The sequence below is a fragment of the Homo sapiens genome, chromosome 17 (genome assembly GCF_000001405.40).
Source record: "Homo sapiens chromosome 17, GRCh38.p14 Primary Assembly".
In the NCBI taxonomy this organism is placed as follows: domain Eukaryota; kingdom Metazoa; phylum Chordata; class Mammalia; order Primates; family Hominidae; genus Homo; species Homo sapiens.
Genome location: NC_000017.11, coordinates 12,098,879 through 12,113,225, shown reverse-complemented (window position 1 = coordinate 12,113,225; position 14,347 = coordinate 12,098,879). Strand labels below are relative to the sequence as shown.

At 33.1% G+C, this 14,347-nt stretch overlaps 1 protein-coding gene across 6 annotated transcripts in view; it reads right to left on the bottom strand.

Moving 5' to 3' along the window:
• Nucleotides 1-14,347, bottom strand: part of MAP2K4 (mitogen-activated protein kinase kinase 4) — a 122,952-nt gene that overhangs the window by 30,603 nt on the left and 78,002 nt on the right. For all 6 annotated transcript variants that reach the window (XR_007065381.1, XR_007065382.1, NM_001281435.2 and 3 more), the window contains 2 exons: nucleotides 5,317-5,436; nucleotides 2,800-2,851 (listed from right to left, as the gene is read on the bottom strand). Coding sequence is in view for 4 of the 6 variants with exons in the window: in NM_001281435.2 (NP_001268364.1) it covers nucleotides 2,800-2,851; nucleotides 5,317-5,436 (172 nt within the window). In the remaining 2 variants the exon portion in view is untranslated. The remainder of the gene's footprint in view (nucleotides 1-2,799; nucleotides 2,852-5,316; nucleotides 5,437-14,347) is intronic.

Here is a 14,347-nt window from a genome sequence, read left to right as displayed (position 1 = left end):
ACATAGATATCATTCAGTATACAATTAGCTTCTTCCTAAGTTACATAAGGCTTCACTTTAAGCAAAAATATTGAAAAACCTTAGACAACATAAGTGGTCAAGTCCTTAAATTCAGATATATAAGAAGTAAAACATCTTCATTTATCACATACAATAATTATTCATGTTTTAAACATGTAGCTTTAATAACTATAATTGTGTAAATGTAACAGCAAAAGTCATTTCACAAACATTAATCTGTAAGATATAGATGGGGATTGATTTTTCTCTTAACATCTTCATATTTATAAAACACAGAAAAAACAATGGTTTTCTTCTATTGAAAATGAGAAAGGAAAACAATTTTCTGAATGCCAGTGCTTAAAAACTGAATATCAAAAAAAATTTTCACAAGAAATTTAGGCATTAAATTGTTTTCAAGAGGCTTACAAATTCATTTACTTAGTCCAGATTCATTACATAACAGTCAAAATATAAGGAATGTCAAATCCCTTTCTCATTGACAATCAAGTCACTACCAGTATGTGCCAACTAATTCTCTATCCATAGCTCAGTCCTTTTATCCATGTCCTTGTCACTATCCTGGCTCAATGAATAAAAAATAAGGTTTTAAAATATAGGATGCAGAAAACATCTAAATGTAACTCAGAAGGTGATCCACAAAAAAATTCAGTAAAGATCTCTTACCATGACCGAAACAGCTGTGGGCCTATCAAACATCCATTCCTAACCATCCATGCTTTTTTTTTTTTTTTTTTTTGAGACAAGAGTCTCGCTCTTTTTTACCCAGGCTGGAATGCAGTGGTGCAATCCCCACTCACTGCAACCTCCGCCTCCCAAGTTCAATCGATTCTTCTGCTTCAGCCTCCCAAGTAGCTGGGATTACAGGCATGCGCCACCACACCTGGCTAATTTTTGTATTTTTAGTAGAGATGGGGTTTCACCATGTTGGCTAGGCTGGTCTCGAACTTCTGACCTCAAGTGATCCAGCTGCCTTGGTCTCCAAAGTGCTGGGATTACAGGTGTCAGCCACCACACCCAGCCCCATCCATACTTTCTAACAGAACCTGTGTTTTATTGAAGTATCTCTTCTCATCAACATCCACACCTCGAAAACCTGGCTGTTGGCTGGTATAAGTTTTATAAGGGTAGTCTCATGCTTCTTGATAGTAGCTGGTTTAAGGGCATGAGGCACTTCTGGTGAATGAGCCAAGAAAAGGTATTAGAGACGTGGGAAAAGTTTCCATACTCCCTACAGAGCTGCACAGCACGAGAGCACCTCTTCTTCACGAGGCAGCCACATATAGACATGATAGTGGGAACTGCTCTAGTTGTTACTACCCTGAGGACAGAGTTAACACATGAAGGAGGACAGAAGGAAGAGGAGCATATTGTGCTTTGAGCCACCCCATCTTTGGACTAATTATGACAGATAATGAATTTCCCTGAAGTTTAAAGAGAGTTATCAGGATTTTCTATTACTTGTAATCAAAAGCACTGACTCCAACAAAAAAGCTAACTGATCCTAACTGATAAAAGATGGCTATAAACTCATCACTTCATTTAGTAAGAGAACAATAAAAGTTACTTCTGAAGTTTTTTTATTTTATTCAACTACTCCCCAGGCAGTACCTTGGTGCTTTACTGTGATCAGTAAATATCCCTAAGGTAACTATCAAATGCCTCAAAGGTGCTACTCTCATAATTATAGAACACAGCTAACAAAGAAGGGAAAAAAAAAAAAATCAAGACAAGAACAAGAAGAAATACAAGAGAAACAAAGAATTTTGTTTAGGGACCTAACTCTACATAATTTTAGGCCAAAAGAAAAAAAGATATTATTTCTAACAAGCATTAAGCCAAACAAAATTAAATAAAATTTACTGATGTTCAAGGTTCACTAATTTCAGTGGCCTAGTGTCAACCACAAACAAAAGAACTTAAATAAATGGCCCAATTACTAATTTCTTTAACCACTAGAAATTGTCTCCCAGAATTAGAAATTTTTCACTTCTCTTCATTTTGACCCTTTACTTTCCTTCCTATTTACTGTCAGGCTAAATCACACACTGCCACTTACTGTCAGGTTTTTCCGTTACAAATTTGCTGAGGGGTAGTGATTCGGTGTGTTTCCTCAAAGCCAGCACCTCATTACCCTGAGTCTAGCACAGTAATAAGTAAAGCAAGCACTTCATCTATTTGCCAGATTAAATTCAGGATTCCCACAGGGTTACTACTTTTCTAGGTCTGGCCTTCAACTACATCAAATGCTTCATTTGAATATGTATCTAATAAAGGCAAGATCACTGTTTACACAAATACAACATGCTTTAGAGAAATTTCAACTTATAATACTAATTAAAAGATTTCTCTCAATTTAGAAACATCCTCTAATGTGAAGAAGAAACAACAGACAGGGATAGCATGCCTTTAAAATGCTTGAGGGTACTATCCCTCAGATTCTTCTTTGAATGTCCACAGGACCACCTCGATGCCTTATTTGTATGCAGAAAAACATTATCTATCAGGCAAATGAATAATTATTTTTCAACTAATAACAATGTGCAGCAAAATCTATTTCAGTTTCTAAGTCCAACATACTAAGATAGACTGAAATTTATTGAATCCCAAAGAAAAAAATAGCAGTAATAGAGTTTTAAAGTACATAAAGCATTTTTTGCTAAAAATACAAATATTTTAGGAAAGTTTATACAGTGACACTGTAATTTTCAATAACCGTTTCACCAATTAGGAGAAAAAAGTTAATTTCTATTACAAAAAATACCAATCCATACCCACCTCTGTGAATAATTTTCAAGTTTTCTTTTAAGTGGTTTAGTGCTTTCACAGTCTAGGGAGAAAAAGGAGAGATGGGATAAACAACTTGTTTCTTTTTATTCAAACAGCACAACAGTTTATCACAAGTAATATCCCGTGTAGTCCTCTGCATACATTTTAAGCTTAATATTTCAATATTTTGTCATTTCTTGTTAACCAAAGATACTGAATAATTTTAGATCTAAAAGCTTAGTTGCCTTTATATGCTGTTCCCTGATAGCTCAAACAAACAAAAAACCCAGTAACTTAGACTTATAATTTGTTTAATAATTCATTTAAAATTTTATCTTTTTTCCTATCTCCAACCTAAAATTTCCTTTTTTTTTTTCCCTTTTTATTTTGAGACTGGGTCTCGCTCCCACCACAGCCTGCCAAGTAGCTGGGACTACAGATGCATGCCTGGCTAACTTTTTACATCTTTAGTATGGACAGGGTTCTCACTATGTTGCCCAAGCTGATCTCAAATTCCTGGGCTCAAGCGATCCTTCTGCCTCGGCCTCTCAAACTGCTGGGATTACAGGCATGAACCATTGTGCCTGGCCTCTAAAATGTTCAAAAATAAAAACAGGACAACAATGATCACTGAGTTGGTTCCATTTCAACTAAGAGTAATAACTTGCAGCAAAATCGATTTCAATTTCTAAGTCCAGTAGTAAATAAAAAAGTTTTCTAAACTCTCAGTTCCTCATCATCATCCACCCTCATTGGATGCTAAGCCTTCAAGGTGATGTTTGAAGAGCTAGTGTAAACTCTGTTCACCACTGTGGGAATTTATCCTGTTGCCTGGTCACTGATCATGATCAGAAAATTACACATTTCTTCAGGAAGGGAAGGAAAAGAGACACAACCTCAAACTAAAAGAGAACTAAACAACAGGCCAACTATTTGCTGTAAGGTGACGTCTTTGCTGACGTCAAGCTGCTAGGTACAAGAAATGTAGAACACATAAATTTGTTGTGAATAGCTATGCTTGTTTGCTGGTTTATTAATTAGCAAGAAGAGACTAAATACAAAGTATTTTACATGTGTGCTTAATATATATAAAGTGATCACCAAGTCTTGACTTAGGCAAATATGGAATAAATCATTTTTTACAGTATATATTCTTTATATTGCAATATATGATAAAATAATTTTCTGTTTTCTAATTTCATGGTCACCCTGTTATACAGCGGTTAAGAGCAGGGTTCTGGGATCAGGCTGCCTGGATTTAGATTATTTACCACTTACACACTTCAAAGCATATTAATTATTTAATCTGTCTATGCTTCAGATTTATCATTCATAAAAATGAGGTAACACTATTTACCACAGAGAGTTACTATGAAGATTTAATGTCACAAATAGTTTGATGCAAATAAGCATTTAATAACCATTAGCTATTATCATTTTTCTATTATTATAATTATTACAAATAGTAAGTTTCAAGATAACACGGGTTTAATATATTAGAGAGAGATGGCTAAACTAATCATTGTAAAATTTCATATACCCCGCTAAATAATAAGTTTCTAGTCTAAGTTAGCTTCTTTTTATACAATTATTTTTATAAAATTTAAAAATAAAATGATTTCATAAAATCTTTTTATGAAATTATTTGAAAGAGTATATATCTTGGTGAACTACATTGGAGGGGGAGTATGCAGGTAAGGAAGAGCTAGGAAATTACATGCAACCAAAGTATCTATTTTACAATTTCCTGTATGATTTAGTTTATATATCAACTAACCTAGAACATGCCATTAGCTCAGATTCTCAGGAGTTTCTAAGAATCTTATGAATTTTGCTCTATAAAAAGTAAATTATCTTTTTCCTTTAGGAAAAAAAATTAAGATTCAGAGCAAGAAACAAAGTGATCAATTCACTTTCAAAACTATAAACACATATGTAAAAAAGTAGCTATTTTCTTTTTTGGTACTCTGGTAAAAGTGAGTTAACCAAATTTAGTAGTAACACTGGCCCCTGAAACTGCTAGTCAAAATTTTAAATAGTTTAGACTGAATAACCAAAATCTTAAATCACAGTAAACATACTTTGTCCAAGGGCTTCAATTATGGAGTAACCAAAATCTTAAATCACAGTAAACAAACTTTGTCCAAGGGCTTCAATTATGGGGCTTCAAGGAGACTGCTGTGATTCTGATTAATTTCAGGATAACTGTGGTAATATAACCTATTTAAAAATAGTTAAAGCAACAGGAAAAAATGAACAGAAAATTGCTTTTCCTAGCTTTATTTACAGAACAGTCTGTTATGACTCATTGAGATTCAAAGGGAAAGAACATTGGCAGTATTTATCGAGACCATTATGACCTATTGTGTTAACTACCCCACAGAAGTGACTTTGTCTCTGGTTATTAACTATGAATTATTTTCAGGAAGGTACTGTGAGTGACACTCAAATATGTGCATTCAAAACTCCAGCAGCATCTCTATATAACTATATACACAATGAATAATTTAAAGACCAGGTACTTACTGCTAAAGTGATTTTGCCTAAAATTTCTTCTGGAATAACATCATCTAATACACTATATACATATTTGTAAAACTTATCAAACGAGGTAGACATGAGTTCCATACAGATCCAACAGTCACCCTATAAAATAACAAATATCTGTTATTCTTATACATCTTAAATATCACCTTGCCTTTACTTAAAATGGAAATACAATAGAAAGGAGCAATCTTATTCTTGCTTATTTCAAATGTCAAACTAGTAATAATTTTTGTTTTCTTGTTAAAGCCTTCAACAGAATATTCTACTCAGGTTTAAACATAAACAATGTAGTTAAAGCCAATTTTCCCCACTCTTTAATTGTATGGACAGGGACAGGCTTACACAGAAAACTTCTGTGCTTTCATTAAAATTTCAAATTTTGCCAAAATAGAAAAAAAAATAGGAAATGTGTAGAAAACCATTCTTACTAACAATGAAAATAGATGACAGTAATCTTAAGAGACTACATAAACTTCTTAAATTAGCCAAAAAAAAAAAAAAAAAAAGGAAAAAGACAAAAATACATAAAGTAAATCCCATGCCTCAAGACCCCGTACAAATGCCACCTTCTCAGTGAGGCCTACTTTAACTGATGCAAAGCGCAAGTCATCCCATCAGGCACTCCCTTATCCTGCTCTGTTCTGTAAAGCCTTCATCATCCTCTAATATAAAGTGTAATTTACTTATTTATTATGTTTGTCTCATATATTCCCTACTAGAATGTAACCTCTGCCAGAACAAAGACTCAATAAATACTTGTTAAATGACTGGATGCTGGCTATAATTAAACTGAATCATTCAAACATTTCTTGCATTATAGATTGTTTTAAACCAATTTGAAAGCAATTTGACAATAAAACAGAAATAAATGTGTTGATACCATTTTATAGAATCATCCTATGACTGGGAATGTAACTTAAATGTTCCATAAATTACAAAAAGAAAAAACAAAACAAAACTAGAAACCGAGGAACTATCTCACAAAAGGGAATACAACAACATTAAAGAGATTATCTAAAATCAATTTTTTTGAAAATGAATACAGTTCATGAGAGAGATGCATGAGTCATGAAAAAATAAAAAATAAAAGTAGATACCATGATTATAACTGTAAAAGTACAGGATACACAGATGAACAAGAACTACAAAGTACCTTACAAAAATGAAAATACTATCAAAATGATTTTTAAAAAATTATACAGTTCTGTATGTTGTTACTTATTTATAAATACAGCTGTATCATCAAAGATTTTCTACCCATTAATCTCCTATCCTTCGATTATATAATAATTATATAATCAATCCTATCCTTGGATTATATAGGAGATTAATGCCTGTTAAAAGTAAAATTACTTGCCCAGAACAATACACTACCCATGAATAGAATCCACTGTCCCTAATGTGTTTCTTCTATCAACGTTTGCCATGCACTCTTACAAAAGGACCACTTTCTAGAACATTCACAGATACATGGCTATACATAATGTTTTTGTAAAGCATATTTGACGTAGTAAATTTTACTTATTATTTCTGCATTTAAATCTTTCTTCTCTCTGTAAATCTCTTTTTCTTTAGAGTGATCTATGAGAATGGCTATCATGAAAGATCGAGTAACACCCTCCACCCAAAACAGACACAGCTTTATTTTAGAGACACTATCTAAATAGGTTTACTAAAAAATCTTATTAGAGACATACAGCACATTTACTTCATCCACTTATAAAAACAGTAGAAAGAAACAACCTCAATAATATAGCAAAGCGGAAAAAAAAATGACATTAGGAGTCTGAAAAGCCTGACATTATCCAAGCTCTCCTACTTTCTACTTATATAAGCTTGGGCCTCCTCGCATCCTCAGCTATGAAATGAGACTGCCCCACCATCCTCAGTGGACTGTGATAAAGGGCAAATGAGTTAACATATGCAAAGCACAAACTAAAGTGCCTGGCAGGTGCTAAAAACTATAGTTACCAAATGGAAGGGAGAAGGAAGGGAAATGTGGGCAAATAAAAGAGAAAGATGGACATGGGAGTGGGAGAATAAAGGTAACAAGTAAACCGAGAACTGAAGATGAGAAGGGGGGACAGAAAAGAGCAATGAGATAGAGAGGTCTTTGTGATTTTTAAGGAACATAACCTAATGTAACCTTCTTATCTCTCTGACAGTTCCTTTTGGTCATACAAACAACACAATGGCAATGAGCTGCATTTAAAAAATGAAATGCTCTGAGCTGCCTGAAAAAGGTAGTGACAGCAGCATGACTGTCATGCTCAAGCAGAAAACAGGATGACCACAGGTCTGAAATGCAGAAGAAGTGAATAAATGTGGGTTTATTGGGGGAAAAAAAGCTGGAGAATGATGAACAACTCAACTACTAAGGTAACATAAGGAAGGGTTCCTAAAGATCCGTATATAACCAATAACATATACCAATAACTAATTCGAAAATAAAAAGATATCATTCTCAATAAAAATATAAACTAAGTCACCAGGAAATGTATCTAATAAAATAGGCAGAACCTTTATGAAAACAAATATAAAATGTTACTAAAGGACATAACAATAACCTGAACAAATGGAGTAGCAGACCATGATTACAAATGTGAAGATTCAAGATGAGAAGCACGTCAAATTCTCCCAAATTAATCTAAGAATTCAGTTAAATTCTAATCAAAATTTTCAAGGACCTGAACAAGCTGACCCTAAAGCTTATATTAAAGTAGAGCCAAGAATAACTAAGATAATTTTAAAGAAGAGATACTGACCTACTACACAAAGACTTTTTATGAAGCAATCACAAATAAAAGATAAATACACCAAAGAAACAGATGCAAAAGTTCATGCACAGACAGAAATCTGATATATGACAGAAGTTAACAAAGCAGATCATAGCAAAAGAATGCATTATTCAATGAATGCTGCTGGGACAACTGGCCTTCCATATAGAAAAACATTAAATTCTGACATTAAATCATTCACAAATATATATACAAAAACTCCCAAATGGATTTTGCAAAAAGCAAAAGTTTAAAACTTTTTTTCTAAGAGTTCTCCATGACTTTTATATAGGAAAAAAATTTTTCCCAAGAACACACATAAAAACAACAAATCACAAAGGATAAGACCTGTTAAATTTAACCCCATAATAATGAACACTTGTGTATAAACAAGGACAACATACCAAAAGTTTAAAAATAAGAGACAAAAACATCTATTTGGATGTAAAGAAACAAAAGATCAGTATCCTGAATAATAAAGAGTTATGCTAAACTAATTAGGGAAAGACCAAACTCAGTAGAATTATATCAAAGGCAATTTTTTTTTAAAAAAAGCCTAAATACATGTAAAAAATTCTGTATCTCACCAATCAAGGAAATGCAATTTTAAAAGTGAGATACCATTTCAAACTGCCAAAAATTAAACGTTTATTATCAAATGTTAGTACACACCAGGTAAAAGGAGATCTGTGACAGTAAATGCTGATGGCATACTAAATAACCATTCCCCCTTTCCTCTGTACAATGTATGTGGCTAAAATCTACATTTCCCAGTCTTTAAAGTATAGAAAGGCAGCCAAAGAGGTATCAACACAAAACCACTGGTTTGTGACTCCAGGAAAATCCTTTTAGTTCTTCCCTTTTCTTTTCCTTCGTGTGGACATGATAGCTGAACTCTAGGAGCCAATGTGGATCATGAGGTAACCTTAACAACTGAAACTATAAAGTAAGCAAGCTACTAACAGTCAGGAATGGCTGATACCAAATACAATTATTGATATAGAAATTTTGGTGGAAATTTAAGTCGGTACTCCAGTTGGAGACATTTGTATCATTAAATTTAGTAACTGTATTTCCAGGGACATATGCTAAATAATCTGTAACCTAAGTTGTCAAAGAGACATGCAAAACAATTCTTCATTTTTGTGCTGTTTATAATTATAAAAAAATGAGAAGCAATCTACATTATGATTATTTCTAAAAAAATAAAATAAAAAGGTGTATTTAATCATTAGAATACTACAGTTAAAATAAATTAACTAAATCTGTATATTACGAATCTATATTTACATAAATCTTGAAAACTATGTTGAATAAAACTATGTTGAATAAAATGTACAATAAAGAACGCATATAGGATTCCATTTACTTAAATGTGAAAATACATAAAGCGATATTATGTAAAATGTAGGGGAAAATGCACATATGGATGACCTAAACAAACAAGTTAAAGGAAACACTCAGGGTAGTGATGAGATCTGGAAAGGGAAATGTGATGAGGGCTTTAATTCTATTTATAATATTTGAAGACATATAAAGAGTAAATATGCCAATATAGGATTTGGGTAGCTGTTTCTCCTCTGTAATTTAGTCTATGTTTAAAAAATTTCACAGTTTAAAAGGAACATGGACCACCTTAAGAAACAAACAAAAAAAGCAAATTAAGCAAAAATAAGTAAAAGGAAGAAACCACAATCAGAACGAACACCGCTCCCCGTCAAAAAAAATAATAATAGAAAAGCAATACAGAAAATCATGTAACGGAGGCCAGACGCCATGGCTCACACCTGTAATTCCAATGCTTTAGGGGGCCAAGGTGGGAGGATGGCTTGAGGCCAGGAGTTTGAGACTAGCCTGGTCAACAAAGTGAGACCCCACCTCCAAAAAAAAAAAAAAAAATTCAATTAGCAGGGTGGTGGTAGTGCATGCCTGTAGTCCCAGCTACTCAGGAGACTGATGTGGGAAGATCCCTTGAGCCCAGGAGTTCAAGGTTGGGTTGAGCTAGGATGATGCCACTGCACTCCAGCCTGGGCCACAGAGCAAGACCCTGACTTTTTTTTTTTTTTTTTTTTAAAGATAAGAAAAGAAAAGAAAATCATTTAACTGAGAGCTAGCTGGTTCATCGAGATCATCAATAACATTGATAAACCTCTAGCTGGACTAATTGGGAAGAAAAAAAGAAGACATAAATTACCAGTATCAGAAACAAGTGGGAGGGAGGGGGAGACAGGGAAGACAGAAGTAACACACTACAGACTCTACCAATATTAAAATAATAAAAAAGAAATATTATGAATAATTTTATTCCAATAAATTTGATAATTTAGATGAAAGGGATAAATTTCTTCAAAGAAACAAATACCAAAGATCACTCGACAAGAAATACGTAACTTGAATAGAACTATATCTTTGAAAGAAGCTGGATATTCAGTCAAAAATATTCTCACAAAGAAATTGCCAAGTTCAAGTGGCTTCATTGGTAAATTCCATCAAATACTTACAGAAAAAATAATACCAATTCTATATAAATTCTTCCAGAAAATTCAGGAAGAAGAAATACTTCCCAACTCATCCTATGAGGCTAGCATTACAATGATGCAAGTCAGACAAAAATAAGAAAAGAAAACTATACATCAATGTCTCTCATAGATACAAAAATTTTAAATGAATTTTAGCAAATTAGCTAAATTTTAGTAATTTAACAAATTGAATCCAATGATAGATAAAAAAGATAAAACATCCTAACCAACTGGATTTCTCCCAGAAATAAAAGCTATGTTTAATATCTGAGATCAATTCATATAACTCACCATTATTAAAACAACAAACAAACCATACATCTCAAAAACATCTCAAGGATCTGGAAAAAGAATTTGACAAAAATCTAACATCCATTCCTGACAAAATCTCTCAGCAAACTAGGAGTAAAAAGAAACTTCCTTAACCTGATTAAAAATATATATATATGAAAAGTCCACAGCTAATATCATATTTAATGAAGGAAACATGAATGCTTTCCCTCTAGGATCAGGAAAAAAAACAAGGATGTCTACTCTCACTGTATCTACTCAACAGCATACTGAAGGTTCCAGCCAGTGCAATAAGGCAAGACAAAAATAAATAAAGGAACTAATTGGGAAAGAAAGGAGTAACTCTCTTTATTCACAGACAAAATGATGATCTATGTAGTAAATCTGAAGGCAGGTAAAAAAAGCTACTGGAATTTGAGTTTAGCAAGGTTGCTGCACACAAGATCAATATAAAAAAATCAAATGATATTTGTGCATTTAGTCACATGAGAAAATTAAATTTAAAAATACGTATTAGCATTAAAAATATTATACACTTAAGGGCAACTCTAGCAAAAGCATGAAAGACTTATACAGCGAAAACTATAAAATATTGCTGAGAAAAATTAAAGAAGATGTAAAATAATAAAGTGAGATGCCACAAAAAAGGGTCAACAGACTTAATACTGTTAAGATATCAATGCTCCCCCAGTAGACCTACAAATTAGAAAAATCCCAATAAAAATTTCAGCAGGTTGTTTTTTTGTTGTTGGTTTTTTTCGGGTTTTTTGGTAGAAATCGACAAGTGGATTCTAAAATCCACATGAAAATAGAAAGGATATGAAAGAGCCGAAACAACTTTTAAAAGAACAAAGTTTAAGGACCAACACTCTCAAATCTGAAGACTTTCTATAAAGCTGGAGTAGTCCAAGACCATGTGAGATCAGTGCAAAGACAGAAAAACAACAGATCAATGGAACAGAGCAGATACTCCAGAAATAGACACACATCTGTATGGACAACTGATATCTGATAAAGGTGCAAAGGATATCCACATGCAAAAAAAAATCATCAATATATAACTCTCGATATATATAAAAACTAACTCCAAATGGATAAGTATAAATGTGATACCTAAAACTATAAAACTGCTAGGAGAATACATAAGAGATAATCTTAAGTGAGCTTGAGTTAGACAAGAGCTCTTATACACAACATCAAAAGCACAATACACAAATTTAAAAATTGGCCTATATCAACATTAAAAACTTTTGCTCTCCAAAAACACTGTGAAGAATAGATATATATAAAGATAAGCGCAGACAGGAGACAGTATCTGCAAATCATAGGTCTGATAATAAACTTGTATTCAAAACACATTTTTAAAAACCTCCCAAAACCGAATAACAAAAAAACCCAATTTAAATAAAAATGTACAACAGATTTTAACAGGAACTTCATCAAAGATATACGGTTGGTAAATAAGCACATGAAAAGACATTCAACACTGTTAGTCATTAGAAACATGCAAATTAAAAATACAGAGATTCCACCACACATTTACTAGAACGGCTAAAGATTAACACAACACATCACACTAAGTGCTGGAATAGACATGGAAGAAGCTGAACTCTCAAAAACTACTGGTGAAAGTATAAAATGGTACAACTACCTTAGAAAAAAGTTTGTCCATTTTTTAAAAAGTTAAACATACACCTACCATATGATCCAGCCATTCCACCCCCATGTAATTACCCCAGGAAAATAAAAGCTTATGTACAAACAATTGTACATAAATGCTCAAAGCAACTTTATTAGTAACAGACAAAAACTGAAAACAATCCAAATGGCCATCAACAGGTAAATGAGTAACAAACTGATAGATCTGCATAATGGAACATTACAGATAGTACTTGGCAATACAAAGAAATAAATGACTGATAAATGCAAGATAATTATACTGAATGAAAGACGACAAACTGAAAAAGAGAAGTACATACTGTAAGATTCCGTTTACATAAAATCTAGAAAAATACAAATTAATCTATAATGGCATAAAGCAGGTCAGTGGTTATCTGAGAATGGGGACAGCAGAGAGGTGGCAGGTATTACCTACGTGGTGTAAGGAAACTCGTAAGTGATGGGCATATTCATTACCTTGATTTTGGTGATAATTCTACAGGTGTATACATTTGTTCAAACATATCAAACTGTACACTTTACATGTGGGAAGTTTATCAGATGTCAATTTTACCTCCATAAGCTGCATTTAAAACTTGCAAGGAGAAAGAAGAGGGAAAGGAGAAGAGGGGTGGAAGTAAGGATAAAAAAGGGGGAGGTAACTTGCTTCAGCCAGCATCACTGCCTTCTATAATCTGATGAACTTCTACATTCACAAGTTACTCAGAACAGTGCTTTCTGCACTAGAATTTATTGCCCAACCTCAAAAGATGTTTAAAATAAGAGTTTACCTGCTATGAAATTCTCAAATTTTATGTATTAGAAAAATTTTTAAGTGATACTAGGTTTCAGCACTGTTAAGATAAATGGTAGGTCTTTTTTGTAAAATATAGGCTAAAAGTTACTTCCATTATTCAATTATTATCAAGCTCTTTTTTCCACCTACCTACAAAGCCTGAAAATGACTTTTAGGAACCTGTGCAACTGAGTGACCTAATAACTTATCTAAACCAAATCCAAGCTGTACTTTGGACTTTTCTTTTTGAGGTTGGTTCCATCCTAGAAAGAAGTATGCATGGTTGAAGATAGTGGCAACATAGAAGTTACCAACTTCAGTATTAAGGATTATTCACTGCTTTGAATAAGTGACGGAACTTTCAGAAGCTCAATATTACCCAACAGCAAGATTAATCTCTAATTAGTGGAACTACCATTTGATCCAGCAATCCTACTACTGGGTATCTACCCAAAGAAAAATAAATCATTATATCAAAAAGGTATCTGCACTGGTATGCTTATGGCAGCACTATGTATAATAGCAAAGTCACAGAATCAACCTAAATGTCCACATTTTTAAAAATGTGACATATATACACAATAGACAGTGACAGCCATTAAAAAAAGAATGAAATCATGTTTTTTTTTTTTTGTAGCAACACGGATACACTGGAGGCCATTATCTTTAGTGAAACAAACCAGAAACAGAAAGACAAATACTGCATGTTCTCGCTTATAAGGGGGAGCTAAATCATGTGCACACATGGACAGAATACGGAACTGGAGACCTTGGAGACACAGAAGGGAGGGAGGAGTTGAACGGGGTGGATGATGAAAAATTACTTGATGGGTACAATTTACATTGTTTGGGTGATGGATACACTAAAAACACAAACTGTACCACTACTCAATATATTCATATAAAAAAACTGCACTTGTACCCCTTAAATTTAAATAACATTTAAATTTAAATAAATAAATAGTTGC